Source organism: Homo sapiens, chromosome 9 (genome assembly GCF_000001405.40).
Source record: "Homo sapiens chromosome 9, GRCh38.p14 Primary Assembly".
NCBI lineage: Eukaryota > Metazoa > Chordata > Mammalia > Primates > Hominidae > Homo > Homo sapiens.
The window spans coordinates 69,722,765-69,744,276 of record NC_000009.12 but is presented as its reverse complement, the minus strand read 5'-3'; the positions used below and the strand labels follow the sequence as shown (position 1 = coordinate 69,744,276).

The 21,512-nt window shown below is 35.0% G+C and overlaps 1 protein-coding gene across 15 annotated transcripts in view; it reads left to right on the top strand.

Annotated features, from left to right (window-relative positions):
• The window catches only part of PTAR1 (protein prenyltransferase alpha subunit repeat containing 1), a 50,487-nt gene that overhangs the window by 15,735 nt on the left and 13,240 nt on the right, over positions 1–21,512 (top strand). For 6 of the 15 annotated variants that reach the window (NR_159515.1, NR_159516.1, NR_159517.1 and 3 more), the window contains 4 exons: positions 2,419–2,485; positions 10,023–10,127; positions 11,925–12,138; positions 20,647–20,951. Coding sequence is in view for 12 of the 15 variants with exons in the window: in NM_001366937.1 (NP_001353866.1) it covers positions 2,419–2,485; positions 10,023–10,127; positions 11,925–12,138; positions 20,647–20,951 (691 nt within the window). In the remaining 3 variants the exon portion in view is untranslated. Of the gene's footprint in view, positions 1–2,418; positions 2,486–3,500; positions 3,557–10,022; positions 10,128–11,924; positions 12,139–20,646; positions 20,952–21,512 lie in introns of all 15 variants that reach the window. The other 9 variants (XM_047423353.1, XM_011518639.2, XM_047423354.1 and 6 more) reach the window with 4 other exon arrangements.

Genomic DNA, 21,512 nt, shown 5'->3' with positions numbered 1-21,512 from the left:
AGGTAAATCTGAATTATGTTCCGAGAAAAGAAGGTAGGCGGGTAGGACGTGTGTTCATAGGACAGTGGAGTTTGACTCAGGTGGAATGTAACATGTAAAGGAAAGTAATGGAAGGCCAAGCTGATCAGGAGATTGAGACCAGGTTTCAGAAGGTTTCACTTCCTGGTACATTTTACCAGTACCTTGTGTTGTAGTCATGCTCTGGTATCCATAATCTCTTAGAGAGCAGACTATGTGTGAAGTTCCATGCATTTTTATCTTTGCTCATACTTTTTCCAGTATGGTAAGGTGGTGCCGTGACCACTTTATTTATTTACAGTCTTCCATGTATAATTCCACTAAGAATTAATTGCAGCTTCTTTGGTGGGCCCCAAAATGTGGTTTATGTTTCTACTTCATAATTATTTTGCCTTATATAATTATTTGTTTATATAGTCTCTCCAACTTGAAGATAACCTAGAGGCAAAATTAGGTCTTGTTTATCATTACATTCAATCACTCAGTCCTAAGGGCCTACTTTAATCTTTGTCCATAGTCAATACTTGGAATATTTGTGGAATTAAATGAATAGTGACATAGAATATTATATTTATTTTTCTTGATAAACATTAAGTTAGTGCCAAAAACTACTAAAAGTAAAAAAATGAAGAGGTTAATTATTCTTCATAGGCATATTGTGTTGTAATGTATGTAATGACTTGGAGGTCAAAATAAATGTGTACTGATCCTACTGTTTGTTGCTCATTTGAATTGAATATTCCAATATGCTCACTAGTAATGAAATCATGGGCCCCAAATAAATGTTAATCTCCTATTAAGATAGAATAAAATAATTGATTTTATTGTTAGCTAGAATATTTTTAAATGACTATTGGATGTGTTTATGTGTATTTGCTCTTAGATATTAAAAAGTTTATATTTTACTTAAACACTGAAAATGTCCCAATTATTGTAGGCAGACATTTTGTTTGCAGCATAATTGACTTGTTGGAAACAATTTTGATGTTGACTTTGCCACATGCTAATTGGGTGACTACGGGCAAATTGCTTAAATTGCAGAATTTCAGTTTCCCTATCTGAAAAGTGGGATAAGAATATTTTGGATTGTGATTATGAGAATTTAGTGAAATAATATAAAATAAAGTGCTTACTGCCATGCCTCATACACAGTAATGCTAAATAAATGGTAATAATTATTTGTATTGTTTTATTACATGACATTTAATAAGAGCTTGGTAGGGTTGCCTTAATTTAGTACTGTGCCCCTAGATAGATAACCTTAATCCTAAAATTCTTTTCAGTTTTAGTAAGACAAAGACAATATGTCTAAACTTTGCTAATTTTGTTCTTTCAAATAGAGGCTTATGGTGCTTATTTGAATGTATAGGAATTCTGTCATAAATATAAATAGCTAATGGATGTGAATAGCTGGTTCATAAGATGAACTATATGTAGTAAACAATGAAAATGTTTCTATTAACAAATGTAAATTAAAACAAATGAATTGTAATTTTTTATCTGTCACATTCATTTTTAAAAATATATATAGGTCAGTTATAGGGACATAAGTACACTCATGTTCCTTTTGCCAGTATAAATAGATACAGTCTATTTTAAAGACAATCTGGAAATGCTTAGTAGGAGTCATACTGATTTTTAAGTTGTTTTGACATAGTAGTTCTGCTTCAGGAAATATAGCCCAAGAAAATAGCCTACAAGACAAAAAGTTTTTAAAAATGTTTATAGTAGTATCACCTATAACGTTAAAAACAAACAGGAAACAGCCTAAAGAGTAAGGTAATTGATGGTATATAGGACTAAGGGATTGTTATGCAACTGTTAAAAATACATACTCTAGCAATATAGGAGGATGCATATGAAATAATACTTAGTGAAAAATATAGAACAAAGTTGTACATTTATCATTGCTATACCTATGTAAAAATATGTGCAAGAAAGGATAATTTTTGCAGGAGAATGTAAATGAATTATGTTAAGTGGGTTGGATTCTGAGTGATATTTTTTTCCTTTTGAAAATTCGCACACACCGTCAATACTTGAGATATTTGTGAAGTTAAATGAATAGTGGCATAGAAATTTTGTTTCTTTCCTCGGTAAATATTAAATTAGTACCAAAAAGCACCCAAAAGGAAGAGGTTAATTAGATTATTCCTTATAGGCATATCATAAAATTGTTTGTGTCATCTTTTAAGAGAGTTACACTTACCAGGAGAGGGTCTTGAGAGTAATCTTCATATCCTTGACAGCTTAGAAGAGGGAATTTATCATTAAAGTTAGTATGACATGAGAGATATATTAGTATAATGTGATAGAGAGAAAGAGAACCTTAAAAGAATGAGAAGCCAAGCTTTAAAAGGTAGGACTATTTGTTTTTAATATGACTTCTCTTTATTTTAGAATTGATAGATGTCACATGTACCCTGCTGCTTCTAAACCCAGACTTTACCACTGCATGGAACGTGAGGTATGTCATTTTCATTAGTGATATGATAAAGTTTGTCCAAATTTCTGAAGACATGTAAGCCCCATAAGTTGTTAGCTTTTGAAAACGAAATATAAACCATTTTACACTTATTTCTTCTCCCTATTCTTTATACCTGTGACAATTCTAAATAGGCATTTTGCCCCTTTTTGTGTGGTGTCTTCATAAACTTTCTTGCCTGAAATATAAATTGTCATGTTGAGTTACAGTATACTGTTTGATACATGCTTTTATTTTCCTTCATTTTTTGGGGTGGGAGACTAATGGGCAATGGGCATAACTGGTTGGCTTATAAGGCATATAACATTATATCATTGGTATTTGAGAAGCACTGCAGTGTAGTGGAAAGTGTATGGGATGAGAAAGAGGGAGTCATGCTTGCCTCTGGCTTTTTCCCTGAGCAACTGAAAGGATGGAATTGCCATTTACTGAAATGGCAGTGTCTGGAAGAGAAACAGATTTAGGTAGGCGGTGTTTGTTATAGGCCAAGAGTTCAGATTGGGACATGTTAGATTTGTGTCCAAGTAGTTGTATATTAATTTAAAGTTCAGGAAAAAGGTCTGGGCCAGATGTAAACTTGGGAATTACTAACATATAGATGGTTTTAAAGCCATGAAACTGTTTTAAGATCCCCAAAAGTGTTGGCATAGCTAGAGACAAGAACCAGTTCAAAGACTGAGCCCTGAGACATTCTATTTTCTAGGGTTGCACAATCCAGTACAGTAGCCATTAGCCACATGTGGCTATTGAGCCCTTGAAATGTGATTAGTCTCAACTGAGATGTGTCCGAAGTGATAAACTGCACATCATATTTTGAAGACTACCTAGCAAAAAATGGAAATATCTCATTAATAATTTTTATATTACTTGCTGAAATTATTATATTTTGGATATATTGAATTAAATATATTTATACTTGTGTTTAATATAGCTGTTAGAACATTTTAAATCATATATGACTCGTATTTGTGACTCACATTATATTTCTATTGGACAGCACTGTTCTAGCATTTGCAAGATGAGGAAGAATCAGCAAAGGAGACTTTTAGGAAGGTACCATGAACTTAAAATTCAGAGCTTTTTTAAGGGCAGGGACCATGTCTTTTTTTTTTTTTTTTTCCCCTTTGTTTCCTTAGCATCTAACTCTAGTGCCGGTACATAATAGACATGCAGTTTGCAAATTGGGCACGGAAATCAAATTCAGTGAAAAAGAAATCAGAGTAATAGGGAAGTAGGAATGCCATTTTTCTTCATGTTCTTGTATTCCTCACCTATAGAGAGGAATTCAAAAGTCCTTCAACAAAAAAATTCTCACTAGCCTAGCATATATGCATAGATAGGTACATACACACACACACACACACCTGTATACATATGTGTATACACACGTGTTATTCATTGTATATTCTATAAGCCCGTTGAGCATAGGAGAAAAAAACCTAGGCCTAAGATTCATGGAACTTAGTCCTGTTTCATCATCCTCACCAATAGAGAGGAATTCAAAAATGCTTCAACAAAAAATGATCTCACTAGCATAGTGTATATACCTACATACATACATACACACACACACCTATATACATATATGTATACACACATGTTATTCATTGTATATCCTATAAACCAGTTGAGCATAGGAGAAAAAATCCTGGCCTTAAGATTCATGGAACTTAGTCCTGTTTCATAAGTTAACTAGCGGCTGACTTTGAGTATAACTTTTAATTATCAAGAGTTTTGGTTTTTTTATCTATGAAATAAAAGATTTGAATTAGGTGAATTTTTTTATGATTCTATTAAACTTTTAAAAAAATATGTCTGGTTGGTCTTATGAAGGGAAGTTGCTCCATAAATCTAACTTGAGGGATGTTTATGACAGTTAATCTTGAAAATTGTTCTAGTTAGATGATTAGTAAGGTTTTGTGCTAGATGAGTAGAAAGGGAATCTTGATTTTTAAAAAATCCTTTGTGGATATGTGTTCTAGTAAATTTTAATTCATATCAGTAAGATTGATTGACATAGAAAGACATCAAATCATAGGTACATTTTGAGCAACAAACTACCAACTTCAAAGTAAATTCTAACCCTATAAGGTCTCTATTGCGTATCAAATACACAGAACTTTATTTTTAATTGTTAGTGGATCTCTTCTGTACTAACCCTGGAAGGCATTGAGTGATTTTTTAATGCATTTTTCAAACTGCTAAAGAATAATGCAATAGACGTCTAGTTCAATTTGTGGGTATTGCAGTCTTAGGGGAAAGAAATAGAGGCAAAAATAAGTTTTTGAACTGATCTCCTGTAATTACAGTGAGTGATACACATAATTTAGAATTTCAGCTGTCTTTTTTTTTTTTAAAGAAAACTGCTTTTTTTTTTTGCTTTGGAAATTTGTGAATTACCTGATGAAAGAGGTTGACTTAGTAATAATGTCCTATTTTCTTCATCAGTCTATGTACTTAGAGTAAGCAAAACACCTTTGAGCAACTAGAATAGTTGATGCCAAACTCCAGTGATTCATGTTCTGAACTCATAGCCTATTGATTTAAATTGGTAACTTTATTTTGTGCAGATTTGATGTTTGGTTCTGACATTTTGAGCTAAGAAACCTGAGCAAGTTACTGAACTTCTCCAGGATTCAATTTCTTCATCTGTAAAATTGAGGTATTTGGCCGGGCATGGTGGCTCACGCCTGTAATCCCAGCACTTTGGGAGGCCAAGGTGGGTGGATCACGAGGTCAGGAGATCAAGACCATCCTGGCCAATATGGTGAAACCCCATCTCTACTAAAATACAAAAAATTAGCCGTGCGTGTCAGTGCACATGTGTAGTCCCAGCCACTCTGGAGGCTGAGGAAGGGGAATCGCTTGAACCTGGGAGGCGGAGGTTGCAGTGAGCCAAGAGCGTGCCACTGCACTCCAGCCTGGTGACAGAGCAAGACTCCGTCTCAAAAAAAAAAAAAAAAATTGAGGTGTTAGGGAAATTTTTTTTATATAGATAAAAAACAATTTAATTCTAGCACCCACATTGTGGTTTCTAATACCATTCTTTAATGATGTTAGAAATGGCTGATTCTAGGACCAGAGCAGGAAGTATACAAGATGAGCTTGGAGCATCTTATAGAGCCAGAAAGTAAGGAAGTATTCAAAAATATATGGTGGGATATGAAAAAGGGACATGGGGAGCAACTGAAAGAGCTTCCAGTGGCCATAGCTGGAATGATTTGAGCAACAAAATAAATAACATAGTATTGGATTATACCCCTATCCATCAGCCCACTGAAATGAATGAATGAATATATAAGTAAGAGACAATAGACAAATGTTCTGTTAATTTATCTAGATAATCCCCCTCTACAAGGTAGAGCATAACTCTGTATTTCTTAAGGTTGAGCTGTGCACCAAATAAAAAAATCAGTGACTTTCTTGCAAAAAGTAGTGAAGAAACCTGAACTCAGCCAGGTAATCCAGATTGATATCAACAATGCTAAGTCATGTTGATAGCACATGCCTCTGATATGATGCAGTGAAAATGTCACTTTACCTCTTTGGTCTTCCTCTCCAGAATCTGTAACTCCAGTTTAATGATGAGAAAAACATTATACAAAATACCTGACCCATATTCTCAAAACTGTCAAAGTCATCAAAAGCAAGGTAAATTTGAGTAGCCAAGAGGAGCATAAGGAGACATAACTACCAAATATAAGGGATCCTGGAGGGAACTTTAGAAGAGGAAAAGGACATTTGGTAGAAACTAAGGAATTCTAAATAAAGTATGGACTTTTAATAAAAATATATCAATATCAATACTGTTGCATAAATTTTGACAAAGGTACCATGGTAATATAAGATGTTAATAGCAGAGAAACTAGGTACAGGGCATATGGGAATTCTTTGTATTATCCTTACAACTTGTTTACGAACCTGAAACTATTGTAAAATAAAAAGTTTATTTTTAAAAAAAGATTGAGTATCAGCAATTTCATATGGCTCAATGATGATATTTACCTTACAGGATTGTTGTGAGAAATTATGTAACATATGTAAATCACTTTACACGGTTCTTGACTCAGAGGAAGTGTTCAATACATGGTAGTTTTTAATGAGGATGGCCATTATTATTGTCATTTCAGACAGAGTAAAGATTGAGAAAAGAAAAAGAGTAGTCAGTTTTATTCAAACACCTTACATGCCTCATTGACATCAGTGACTTTGTCATCACAAGACCTAGTTGTTTTTAGTTCTGTAGCACATTTTTCCAGAGCCCATCATAGTATATCTAAGTTGTTTGAGCTACAGCACTTTTTGAATCTGTTTGTGAGTGGAAATTGTATCTCCAGTCAGATTCTTATTTGAATACATTAGAGCAGTTGATTTTTTTAAAATGTAGCTCTAAGGCCAGGTATGGTGGCTCACACCTGTAATCCCAGCACTTTGGGAGGCCGAGATGGGTGGATTGCTTGAGCTCAGAAGTTTGAGACCAGCCTGGGCAACATGGTGAGACCCTGTCTCCACCAAAAATACAAAAAATTAGCTAGACGTGGTTGTGTGTGCCTGTGGTCCCAGCTGCTTGGGAGGCTGAGGCAGGAGGATCACTTGAGCCCAGGAGGCAGAGATTTCAGTGAGCCAAGATTGTGCCACTGTACTCCAGCCTGGGCAAGACAGTGAGACCCCATCTAAAAAAAAATATATAGCACTAGATTATGTGATTGCTGTTAATGTTACCACATATCATATTTCCTCTTAAAGTGATTTTTGAAAAACTTGTTTCAGCAATATCCAACACCTACAAATGTTCAGTACTACCCCTAGCAATGTTTATTACATTGATATTAAAATTTTGCTTGATTCCATCAGGTGATCTTTTTCAGTGTCCATATATTAACATTGATTGAGGTTGTTTCAAGCTAAGATGTCTTCCCAAAAATGCTGCTTAATTCAAAATAAAGATATTAACGGAGTCCCCATTTTTTTCTTTTTCTTTTTTTAAAATTCTGTACCGCAGTGGTTGCAAAAGAGAGTGCCCATAATTTAAGAAACTTTGTCAAAACTCAGTTGTAGGGTAACTGCCTCTTTTTTGAAGAAAATTTTGATTATCTCCCCTTATATATGGATATATATGGGAATAAAGGTAGACAGTTATAAATAATAAGAGGTCTTAAATTTATGAAATGGAAATTAAGCATAATACAATAAATTCATTATAGTAGTTGTTTTTTAAACTTTAATGGGCATCATTATTGCCAGGCTGGAGTGCAGTGGCGCGATCTTGGCTCACTGCAACCTCTGCCTCCTGGGTTCAAGCGATTCTCCTGCCTCAGCCTCCCAAGTAGCTGGGACTACAGGTGCGTGCCACCATGCCCAGCTAATTTTTTTACTTTTAATAGAAACAAAGTTTCACCATGTTGGCCAGGATGGTCTCAATCTCTTGACCTCGTGATCCACCTGCCTCGGCCTCCCAAAGTGCTGGGATTACAGGCGTGAGCTACCGTGCCCAGCCAATGGGCATCATCTGAAGAGCTTGTTTTAAAACACATATTGCTGTGCCCACCTGAGTTTCTGACTCAGTTGGTTCTGGGCTGAGGCCTGAGGATCTGCATTTCGCATAAGTTCCAGATGATGCTGATGTTGCAGTCAGGGTTCACTTTGAGAAACATTGCTTTCAAACGTGGTTAAAATTACATAGAGCAATATTTTCCTCCTTTTACTTTATAGGTATCCTGACTTACTGTATGAACAAAATGTTACTGATTTCAGAAGAAAAATAATCCAAGACTGCAAAAGCAATTGGCTGTTGCAAGAAAAAAATATATATTTTATATATATATTATATATATATAATGACAAATTGGTTTCCTGAACATTGAAAGGAAAATAGTTGTTTTCTTTATCAAATAAAACTTTATAAATAGTATGTCACTGTTGGAAAGAAAATGTATTGTGGTATTTAGGAATTAAGTCCGTCTAAGTAGATATGGTATAAGAGCTGGATTCTGGTTTTCTCTGGCTTAAACTTCTCTAAAATAAATGAATAATCAGCCCTACACAGGAAGGACATTTTAAGATAAATAATAACAAATGATCTGATTTTATTATAAAATTATAGATACATTGAGAATTCAGTGAGAGTGTAATATCAGCACTTATCAAAAACTTACCTGAGAAATTAAATGTAAATTGTATTTACCTGAGAAACAGGTATAGAAAGCTCTTGCATGACATTCTTTATATAGTTGGCCCTCTGTATCTGTAGGTTCTGCATCCATGGATTCAACCAACCGCAGATAGAAAATATTTGGGGAAAAAATTGCTTTCTGTAGCGAACATGTTCAGACTTTGTTTTCCTATCATTAGTCCCTGAATAATGTAACAACTATTTATATAGCATTTACATTGTATTAGGTATTATAAGTAATCTAGAGATGATATGAAGTATATGGGAGGATGTGTGTAGGTTATATGGCAACACATTTTATATCAAGGACTTGAGCATTCGCAGATTTTGGTATCCTTGGGAGGTCCTGAACCAAGCCCCCACAAGATACCAAGGGACAACTGATTGCATTGAAGCTTTGGTTGGGCTTGAACAGTTTTAAAAACAACCAAAACATTACATTGCTATTACTTCTGCTGCTTATATTAATATTTTAAAAAGGAATGGCCTCGTATATCAAGGGTCATGTAAGTATTTTACCTTGTTAATAGCTCTTTTGGAAACTTATCCAAAGTAAGAATACAAAAGAAAGAAGTTATAAGCACAAAGCTTCCCCTGCCCAGATTTGTTTTAAAATAACAAAAAGTTTGACGCAACCTAAATGTCTAACAAGAAGGGAAAAGCATAGCTTCTAAATGAAAACTAATTTGATCATTTAAAATGTTCATTACAAAGATTATATAGAATCATGGGGAAATTCTTAAGATATAATGAGAGCAGGATGTAAAATTATATGTTAAAATGTATGTGTGATAGGGAAAAGTAGAAGGGAAAATTCAAAAATAAAAAATAGTAATTTGGTTAGAATAGTGATTCCATGAATGATTTTTTTTTCCCTTACATCTCAACCATATTGTGTTTGTTGTATGTGTGGTTTTGTAATGAAATAGACCATGTCAAGTCCTATTTAGGAAACTAGACCAATTTTGGCTGGTATTGGATTGGCCCTATAGGTACGATATCAGGTCTCACAACTTTTGGAAATGAGATAGGCCAGAAAACCCCATTTACCCTCACGCAAATAGTTAAGATTTAAAAATCGTTAAAATCTGTTGATTTAAGAGCTTCTCTTTCTGCTTATTAGTTTGTTATATTGGGATTATGAGAATACATTCTTGATTACTGCATGTCACATTTATGAGTGTTTTATATCCCAGAGTGGCTTGGGCTTTTTTTCTTTCTTTTTTTGTTTTAAAATTCTTAGACATTCGCTTCACAATGAGATTATATTAAAAGCCATGTAGAACCTTTGGATATAAGGATAAAGTAATGTTTAATTTTTTTTTTTTTTTTTTTTTTTTTTTACAGGAAAGAGCTGATCCTCTCTGGCACTTTAAATCCAATTAAGGATTTACATCTGGGAAAACTCGCCTTAACCAAGTTTCCAAAGAGTCCAGAAACATGGATTCACAGGTGTGGTTAATTTACAACATAGTACTCTTACTTAGGATTCAGACTGGCTGGAGAAAGAAACATGACATGTGAGAGGCAAGGTTACTTATTGGTTCCAGAGCATGAATTCTGAAGTCAGGTTACCTACATTTAAATCTAGGAGCTATATAACTTGCTACCTAAGTGTTCATGGGAAATTACTTAACTCACCAAGCCTCAGTTTTCTCATTTGTAAAATGAGAATAATAATTACACCTGTCTCATATAGTTAACAGTCAAGTTTACGTGAGTTAATGCATGTAACACTCCCACAGTGCCTGGCACATATTAAATACTCAATAAATGTTAGCTATTATTAACTCTTTGAAGCAGTTGTGGGCATTGCATTTATAGATACTCAACTGTAATGAGCAATATGGATTTTAAAAGCATTTGGTTGTTTTCCTGGTAAAGATGTTGGTGGTGATGGTTGTGGTTATTAAAATTAACTTACAGAGAAAGCTGAGGGCAGCTGAAGCGAATGCTGTGTAGGCTGAGCTAAAGTTGCTAAAATCCATACATACAAAGAACATTTTTAGGTTAAAAGCATGGGACAGATAGCCAGAATGCACTTTAGGACTCTCAAAATCCTGGCCACCTGGAACCATCTTCCTCTTGGACCCTGTGTAACTACTCTTATTTGACCAAAATGGGATGGTGTGGGCTTGCTAGTCAGGACCAATGAAGAAGTCACTCTGAAATTCTCAGTTTATTAAGCCACTCTAATTTTTCTTAAATCGTGGGCATTTTTAGGATCTTATGTCCGTTCCAGGTGTCTTAGTGGTAATCGTGCCTTTAGTTAACATTGCAGGTCAGCTTCTTCCAAACCACATAGTCAGTTATATTTTCTTCATCACCAGAAATTGAGATAGTATACCACAGAAGGGTATATGACTGTGTGTATGGGGGTTTGGAAAGGGATGGTGGCAGGGGAAAGGAACTGTTAAATATGCATCCATCAGTTTGGCTTGTCTAATTTTTTTTATCAAGCAATATTTTGTTGTTAAATAAGAAATTCCATTATTTTAAAATGACAAAGTGAGTTTTCTTACTTAATTTCCTGTACCTTTGGGTTTGAAATCTTTAGTCTAAAAAATGCTTTTATATAAGTAAATTACTGGTACAAAGTAAACACATTAAGTAGCTCGAAACACTATTTAGTGTTTTTTATGTAAATACATGTTAATGCAAATCTTAAACAGACAAAGGGAGAATTTGTGGATAAGGATATTTTGACACCTTCTTAATGGTTTAATGAATTATATTTGTTACCTTCCAGATTTTATGCTATAATACAGAATTTTGCTGAATGAAAGCTATCAGAATGCAGCTTCTTGTTTGCAAACAAATGCACATAGGGTGAGGCATGCATATATACTTAAAGATGTGAATCATGACTCCTTATAATATTTATCAGCCATTAATTTATGACCTCTCACCACGACCACACACACACACACCAATTGCCTTTACATTTCCTGGCCAAGTGGAGTTTTGGGATTGTCATTTTAGAAGTAATGACATTCTCTGTATTACAGATTTTAAAGTTTTTTTTTTTTCCTGTTTATCCATTTTCCACCCTTCATCCATACTGCTAAATTAGTATCATCATAAACAACAAAACAACCCCTCCCCATCTCCAAAATACTAGACTTATAAACAGGTATTATTTTGCATTGTCTCTGAATGGAAATTAAATTAGGAACAATGAAAACTGGTTATTTTTCTCTCTGGTTTATGTTCTTTCTGTGTTCTCTTTCCCACATGCTGCCTTAACAGGCGATGGGTGCTACAACAGCTAATTCAGGAAACCTCCTTGCCTTCCTTTGTGACCAAAGGAAACTTGGGAACAATTCCCACAGAAAGGGCACAGCGACTCATACAAGAAGAGATGGAGGTCTGTGGTGAAGCAGCAGGGAGATACCCAAGCAACTATAATGCTTGGTCCCATCGCATCTGGGTTTTACAGCACTTGGCCAAGCTAGATGTCAAGGTAGGAATATTACTGTCTCCTGGGCAGACTGCCTGTCTGCCCTTAAAATCTTCTGGTAGTAGTTCATTCTCAGAAGAGCTTTGAAGGAGTAGAGAAACTGATGGTCTGGCAACTTGAGAGAATCGCAACAGCTGCTACCTCTGGAGGAACCCTGTAATTAAATAAAAAGCTTGCATTCCCCACTAGTGCTGTTTTTGGCAGTCTTAAGGCTAGTGCATTGGTAAAGCAAGGCAGGTTTAACCAACTGAGGAAGATTGAGCATAACTCACTTTATCCTGAAACAGGAAGGGATTATTAAGCCTTATAGAACTGGAATTGCTATTTCTTGGTAGTGTTTGGTTATGTGACAATATACTAAGTCAGCTGGCTGTCTTTTCACACTCTCGTCCTCTGAAAAGGGGGAGAGGAGGGCAGGGATAGACAATCTCACCCAGGTGTTTTTAAAATTGGCTGAGCCTATAAATTACCTGGGGATTCCTAAGTTCCACTCCAAGCCTACTAAAGCAGAATGAGGGTGGATCTAGAGATCAGTATTTTCCACTGACTCAGGGTTATTTGAATGCAGAGCCAGTTTGGAAACTCTCACAGCCTAATCCTTTCAGTTTAGAAATGAGGAGATGGAGATTTCCAGAGAATTTTAATGGCTTAGACTTAGCTACAGTTGTACCACTTATTATTCATCAGAATGAGAGCCACATGTCCCTTTTGCTCCTTATATACTACGGTGTCTCAGTTTTTTCTTTTCTGATGGCGTCACAGTGCCATAAGAATCTAGGGTGCTCATCTAAAAAGCTTCTCAGGCTTGAGACAGTTAAAAGAGGTCAAGTTGAAGATTGAAGTGCCCCAGGTGATGCTTTCAGATAAGTGGGGAAGTGTTATGTAATTTTAACTTACCACCCTCTTCTTCCTACATCCCTCTTCCCATGCTCCCATTTCTCTCTTTGTTTCCTGGCCAGGGCAAATGGGAGACTTTTTACTTCCAGAGGATTTTAAGCCAATAATTCTGGAAGAGAAGCCTTCCCCATTCAGTTTACATGGCTTTGAGTTTCAGGAGGGGTGGCCGCCTAATGGAATAGAAAGAACCAAGGCTCAGAATCACATCAACCTAGGTTCAGATTTTGGCCCCACTACCTATATGTGGAAAGCAAGGTTTTATTGTTTTCATTTATAAAATAGGGACTCTACTGTCTGCCTCAGTGGATTATTGTGAGAGTTAATTGAGTTAATGGATGTAAATTACTGGGCATCTAATAGAGAGAGATTCACTCGATTTTAGTTCCTTTCTCTGTTCTCCAGAGATAGAAAATTGGCTACCAGTTTGCTTGATCAACTCCGTGCAATTTATTGATGAAAAAGTATAAAACCCTATCATACCCACCGACTGTCCTGTATACGCAGTAAAACAAAGTGTTTGCTCTCAACAAATTGAAAATCTAGTTGAGAAAGTAGACCAACAATTACAAAGCATCAGAATACAATGGGAGCACAGAAAAATCGTTCTTCATCTAGGATGCGCTCGTTGGAAATAGCTGCCGGGGGAAGGAAGATACATTGAGTTGGGAGGCATGATTACAAGTTGTTTGGTGGGTTGTCAGGGATATGGAGTGCTTGGTGGTCATCTCAGATCCATGACTTGATAGTGTGTGGGAAGAGGAAAGAGATATGGGGAGGATTGGGGATAAAAAGGAAGGCGGAGTCCAGGTTGACTGAGAGATCTTTGGAAATTTTTCTGCCATGATGTGGACCTTTACAAGTGGCATTTCCATAAAATCAGGAACAAGGGGCCAAAGTGAAATTTTTGGTTACTTGAGACCATCTGGTGGTAAAGATAACTCATTAATGGTGAGTTATAACTCATTAATGGTGAGCTCAGCTGCCAGGGTCCACTCCTGGGTTCAGATGTCATCATCCTTCCTTGACCCGCCCTTGGAGGAAGACTTACCATTCTTCCATTCACCACTTGCCACTGCAACATCTCTTGCTCTTGTTGTCAGTGAGGAGTCCTAAATTTGCAAAATCCCCTTTCTGTTGTTATAAGCCATTGGGCCCACCTAGAACATTTACTACTATGCTTTGTCTGTTACAGGAGGTAATCACAAAAATACCAGTAGTCTAAATCAGCTTAAAAATATATATGAAATGAGCCAGCATTTTTTAACTTAGGAAATTGAAAATGACTTTTTAAAGTGCTGGCATCGAGTATTAGTAAGAGTATGAAAATGAGCATTATTCAAATTGTTATAAGCTTACTGAAGGGCAACATGGCAGCACTTATCACACTTTTAAAAATAGGGTGTTATTTTTAAGAGTTCTGCTTCCAGGAATTCATCATAAAGAAATAATGGAAGATGAAGTATGGTAGAATGATTAGAAGCTTCACTCAGTGGTCATGCAGACCTGCTTTGCATTCTGGCTTTACCACCAATTTGCTGTGTAGCCTTGAGGAAGTTGCTTAGCCTCTTCAACCTTCAGTTTTCTCATCCGGAAAAGGAGGGTGACAATAATTCCCATCTCACTGAGTGATGCAAATTGAAAGGGAGGATTCATATAAAGTGGCTATCAAAGTGCCTTAATTAAGTGCTCAATAAACACTGGCTATTAAATATAGAAGTTTGATATATAAAAGTAGCATTTATAGTAGTGAAAAACTAGAAAAGCTGTAGCCCTTCAATAATGAGGGAATTGTTAGATTACAATCCATCACATTGGAATATTTTGTTATGACTAAAATGTATATTTTGGAAGATGATTTAAAGGAAAATATTCACAATAGGTTATATTAGGGTAGGCCTAATATTATTATTTATTTATTTATTTTTGAGACAGGGTTTTGCTCTGTCGCCCAGGCTGGAGTGCAGTGGCACAATCTCAGCTCACTGCAACCTCCGCTTCCCAGGTTCAAGCGATTCTCCTGCCTCAGCCTCCCAAGTAGCTGGGATTACAGGCACCCACTACCACGCCCAGCTAATTTTTATATTTTTAGTAGAGACGGGGTTTCGCCATGTTGGTCAGGCTGGTCTTGAACTCCTGACCTCAAGCAATCCACCTGCCTCTGCCTCCCAAAGTGCTGGGATTACAGGCATGAGCCACCACACCCAGCAGCCTAATATAATTTTTAATGTATTTATTAGCATTGAATGAGACAGCAAATACTTTAAAGTGTTTGAAACAGTGCTTGGCACATGGTAAATGCTGAACAGATAGTAATACATACACACAACAATGCTATAGATTTTTTTCTTGTATTTTTTATAAAAGCATATATTTGTTTTCTAGTCAGAAAAAGGTTAAAGAATAAAGATTGATTAAAAGTAGTATAGGGTGGAATTATGACACTAATTTTCTATTTTATGTTCTCTCTGATGTCTGCATGCTTAAATAAACATTTAAGTAAATTTTAAAATATTTTTATATTTGAGGGTAGTGTGGCAGGAAAGATTCACAGTCAGGCAGTTTATTACTACTGGCAAATTACAAGTTTCACATAAAAAAAGCACATATAGTCATTTCTCCAAAAAACCTACCCACACCACCAATAAGGACATGAAAAGATATTCACCATCTTTACTATTAGGGAAATGCAAAGCAAAACCACAGGGAGTGAGATACCACTTCACACCAAAATACGGACAATAACAAATGTTGGTTAGGATGTGGAGAAACTGAAACTCTTATTTATGGCTGGTAAGAATGTAAAATGGTACAGCCACTGTGGAAAGCAGTTTGGCATTTCCTCAAATAATTAAACATAGAATCACTATATATTAATAAAACTATAGTTAATATATATCATATTCTTGGAGAAAAACATGCATTACCATATATGACCCTGTAATTCTGCTCCTAGGTATATACCCAAGAGAAGTGAAAACACATTCCATACCAAATCTTGTATGAGAACATTAATAGCCATATTATTTATAATAGCCAAAAAATAATACCTCACCTGAGGAATGGAAAACAAAATGTGGCGTATCCATGCAATAGAACATTGGCCATAAAAAAGGAAGGAAATACTGATACATGCTATAACGTGGATGAACCTTGAAAACATGCTGATTGAAAGCAGTCAGATTCAAGGCCACATATTGTATGATTTCATTTATATAACATGTTCAGAATAGGCAAAGCAGGTTAGTGGGTGCCAGAGGCTGGGGAGGAGGGAATGGGATGTAACTTCTAATAGGAATGGGGTTTTGTGGGGGTGGTGAAAACATTAGAAATTAGATAAGAGCAATGGTTGCACAATTCTGTGAATATATTAAAAACCACTGATTTATTTTTTCACTTCAAAAATGATTCTAAAGTACATTAGAGAGAATAAAGCTTAAAGAATAGCTGAGGAATTGTTGGGAAAAACAATAAAGAACACTCTACCATTAGATACTTACATGTTTATTAATAAGACAGAGTAATTAAAATTGTGATGCTATTTCAAAAATAGACTCAGTAATGGAACAGAATATAAAGTCCAGAAACAAATTCCAATACATAATATGTACATATTTCATTAATGATGAATATGGCATTTCACATAATTAGAGAAAGGATTCCCTGTTCAATTTGTGATGCTGGTAAAATTTATTGACTTTTTAGAAAATAGAAAGTTAGGTGGTTTTTTTTTTTTAATCTTAAATACCAAATTGAACTTTAAATGGAATAAAAACCTATATGAAGAAAAGAGACTCACATTATGCTAAGTGAAATAAGCCAAGCGCAGAAGGATAAATATTGCATGGTGTCACTTGTAGGTGGACTCTAAACAAGTTGAACTCATGGAAATAGTAGAATGGTGATTGCAGGAGTAGGGGTTGTGGTGGGGAACAGGGAGTTGCTGGTTAAAGGGTACAAAGTTTCCGTTAGGATGAGTAAGTTCTGGAGGTCTAATGGTAGAACATGGTAATTACTGTTAATAATGTATACCCAAAGATTTCTAAGAGCGTTATCTTAAATGTTCTTACCACAAAAAATAAAATACTTATGTGAGGTGATAGATAAGTTAATTCACTTGATGGTGGTAATCATTTCACAGTGTATACATAAAAACAATATGTCGTACATCGTATATATATATGTGTGTGTATACGTGTGTGTGTGTGTGTGTGTGTGTGTATATACACAATTTTAATTTGTCATTTATACTTCTTCAATAGACCTGAGGGAGAAAAGAAAAAAAAGAATTTTACTTGACTCCCAATCTTTAAAAAAAAAAAAAGAATTTAAAAAATCAGTTGCAGTAATATATCGAAAATAATATTTATAACACATATGACAAATAGAGACTTAATATCTTTAATATGTAAAGACCTCTTACAAACTCGTAAGAAAAATAATGACTATCACAAATAGTAAATTAGATAATTCATAAAAGTAGAGAATTAGGCAAAATAGGCAGTTCATAAATGAAGAAGCAAAGGAAAAGTAATCACACAAGAAAAGATATTTAGGCTTAATGATAATTAAGGAAATGTAAATTAAAATGAAATGTGATTCTTATTAGTGAAGATTAAAGTATTGATGATGAATTTAGGAAATAAGCATTAACATGTACTTCCAATAGGAGTATAAATTATACAGTCTTTCTGCAGGACACTTTATATATCAAGAACTTTATAAAGTTTTTTTCTTTGTTCCAGCAAGTATATTTCTACAAATTTCTCCTAAATAATTAGATATGTACATAGATTTATTTATGAGTGTTACTTATACAAGAGTAGAAACAAACACAGGAATGGTTAAATTCTGTTAATCTTGAGGGTGAAATATTTTACGAGTTAAAAATTATAGAATAATATTTAATGCCATAGGAATGTATTTATAATTGAAGTAGAATAAAATTGGTACAAAAGAATATCCCAGATTTTTCTTAAAAATAAACTCTGTGCATGTGCATACATAGAAAAAAACCTGAAAGATTTGTTTTCTGCCAGAATGTTACAAGTAGTGATCTCTGGCCAACAAAATAATGGATGATTTTTGTTTGCTTTTTTATATTTTCCCATATTATTGGAATTTTCTATATTGATCATTTTGTATCACTTTTATAATCAGAAGAAAACCCAAATACTATTTTTAAAAGTTTAAAGGACCTATGGCATATGTATTTTTAGTAGTCTTTCATTTTTAGCACGTTATCCCTCTTTTTCATAGCCCTGCATTTGCAGTTTTCTTGTAGTTTATTTATTCACTTATTCATGTTTTCATATGGAAGTAGGAAAAGAAAGATATTTAACGTATATCATACGAAGGTCATTTATCCCATCAGTACTGTACATTAAAGCCATATCTTCATATAGTATCTTTAGATCACTTAAAAGTTAACTGGATCACTTAAAAGTAATTGCTGTCTTTTTTAAAAAAATCATTGCCTCTATCTTTATATCTTTTTATTCTAACAAGAGAATACCCTGAAATTCCAGTTAAAGTTTCTAATATGCATCTTTATATCTTAGGGAAAAGAATATAGTGGATTTTCTCTTTAAAAGCCTAAGAATTTTTTTAAGAAATTGATTTTGTTGAAAATATATATATATATTTTTTTTCTTTTTTGAGATGGAGTCTTGTTTTGTCGCCCAGGCTGGAGTATAGTGGAGCAATCTCGGCTCACTGCAACCTATACCTCCCAGGTTCGAGTTATTCTCCTGCCTCAGCCTCCCAAGTAGCTGGGACTACAGGCATGCACCACCACGCCCTGCAAATTTTTGTATTTTTAGTAGAGACAGGGTCTCACCATTTTGGCCAGGCTGGTCTCCAACTCCTGACCTCAGGTGATCCGTCCGCCCCAGCCTCCCAAAGTGCTGGGATTACAGGTATGAGCCACCACGCACAGCCAGAACATCTTTTATATGTGTGCTATTTTTGCCTCAAAATTAAATAATAAACTGCAATTTTATACATAGAAATATCCAGTTAGAAATAATCTAAATGTTTTCATATTATATAAGTTCATTTTAAATAAGTGGAGTACTCTTTTCAATCCATGTTAAGAAGCCATGCCAAAATAAAAAAGCTGCTGTATTATAGCCAGAATGTTCTACAGGTTTATTTTTCAAAAATGTAATAAATGTAAGATTGATTTTTATTTCAGGTAGGAGTTTATCTGGTGCTATTTTTCTTCACCTTTTAAAATCAAATAAAGATACTGTTTTCCATTTCTCAGATACTTGCCAGCTATAGCCTCTGGAATAAATTTAGGTGGCTATGAATAAACTCATTGGAACTTAAAGGAGATGTTTAAAACATATCACTGATACAACTTGACTATCTTGGCTGGAAGTAATCTTACTATTTGCCTTATTTATTAAATTGTTCATTCATTTCATAAAATATTTATGTATCCACTTTGATGTCAGTAGGTATAGGGGGATTGAAGTATCAGATAGGAATGAATAAATATCTTAAAGCCCTCACTCACTGAGTTTAATGAGAATGAAGAGATGCACTGAAATTCTTTAATAAATGTGATGGAATACATAAGTACTATGGGGGTTCAGCAAAAGGAAAGATTCCCGCGGAAGAAAAATGGTGTAAGAAATGGAAAAAAGATCATGGTACAGGAGAAGGCATTTGCCTGGGACCTTTGACAAACAGGTAAAGGTGTCATTCAGCATTATGCTGTCTGTATTGTTAACTGTTCACAAATGTATGTCTTTTTTCCTTAGCTGGTCTGAAAATCCTCTGACGGAACGTGGTAGGCACTTGATATACCTTTCACTGATTTATGTTTGCGACCTGTCCAAGACACTCTCAAATAAATTATTTTTGCATAGGTGCTGCTTTTTAAAAAATCATTTCATTTGAAATTCTTTAGTTTGCAAGATATTGGTATCACAAAGATTTAAACAATTTGCTGCTGAATTTTCAGTTATTTTAAAACCCATTTATTATTACTGTTAAGTAAGTTTGAGACAGTTAAAGTCACGAGCTCTTGAAAAAATCTTATTATTAGTGCATCATGTTTTTCTACTAATCCCTTATAATTAAGTAGTGAGCAAGACAGACACGGTCTCTGCCCTCATGACATTTATATTGAAGAACAAATAATTTCACTGAGCCTATTGTAGAGATAATAAGTTACATATTATACACATTTATTAAATGTAAAATAAAGTTTATATCAAAGTAATCTGAGTTTATATTTTTGCTTTTACGTCAGCATTACTTGTAAATGAATACCCTAATGCTCATCATTATTTTAGAATTTTATTTTCCTTCTCTGTGTGTACCAATCAGAATGTGAGTAGTCAAGGTCTAGGGAAAGGATGACAAATGAGTCCTTAAATTCTTTAGTCTTAAAAAAAAATCTATCACTTTTATATGGGAAAGAGAAAATTCGCATGTATTAAGCTTCCACTAAGTGAGAGCACTGTGCTAGACATTGTGTACAAAATATTGGTAAGAATGGTCTTGTCAAAAAAGGAACAAATCAAAGAGAAATCAGAGGCAATAATGGAGAAAGAAGAACCTTTGGGAACTCTTCTTCTTACTTCCCTTTTTTCTTCTTAAAAGATTCTTCTTGATGAACTATCTTCTACTAAACATTGGGCATCTATGCACGTTTCAGACCACAGTGGATTTCACTACCGCCAGTTTTTGCTTAAGTCTTTGATTAGCCAAACTGTGATAGACAGTTCTGTGATGGAGCAAAATCCTTTGAGAAGTGAGCCAGCCCTAGTTCCTCCAAAAGATGAAGAAGCAGCAGTTTCAACAGAAGAACCAAGGATTAATCTTCCCCATCTTCTAGAAGAAGAAGTTGAATTCAGCACTGATCTTATTGATTCCTACCCAGGACATGAAACCCTTTGGTGTCATAGGTAAGAAAAGGGAAAATCTATTTCCTACACAAAACTGCATGTCTTCATGAGAGCTGCAGAAAGTGTTAGTTACACCTGATTCCTGCCTGCTTGGGTAAACATGGTCATCTGATTGTGGAGCTTTGCCTGAGTGAATACAAGAGGTTTTGTGTTACCATATCATCGTCATCATCATCATCATCATCATTAATAAGAGATTCCTCATGTAGATCTCTGCCTGCAGCTTAGGATGGTGATATTCAACCTTGACTGTGCAACAGAATAACCTGTGTTAGTTCCAAAATAAAACAGAATCAGAAGTTTTTTTGACTCCTTCCTTGGAGATACTAATATTTAGCATATCTAGGATGGATTGCTGCCATCTCTCTTTTTTTTTTTTTTTTTTTGAGATAGAGTTTTGCTCTTCTTGCCCAGGCTGGAGTGCAATAGCGCGATCTCGGCTCACTGCAATCTCGGCCTCCAAGGTTCAAGCAATTCTCCTGCCTCAGCCTTCCAAGTAGGTGGGATTATAGGCACCCACCACCACACCGGGCTAATTTTTGTGTTTTTAGTAGAGACGGA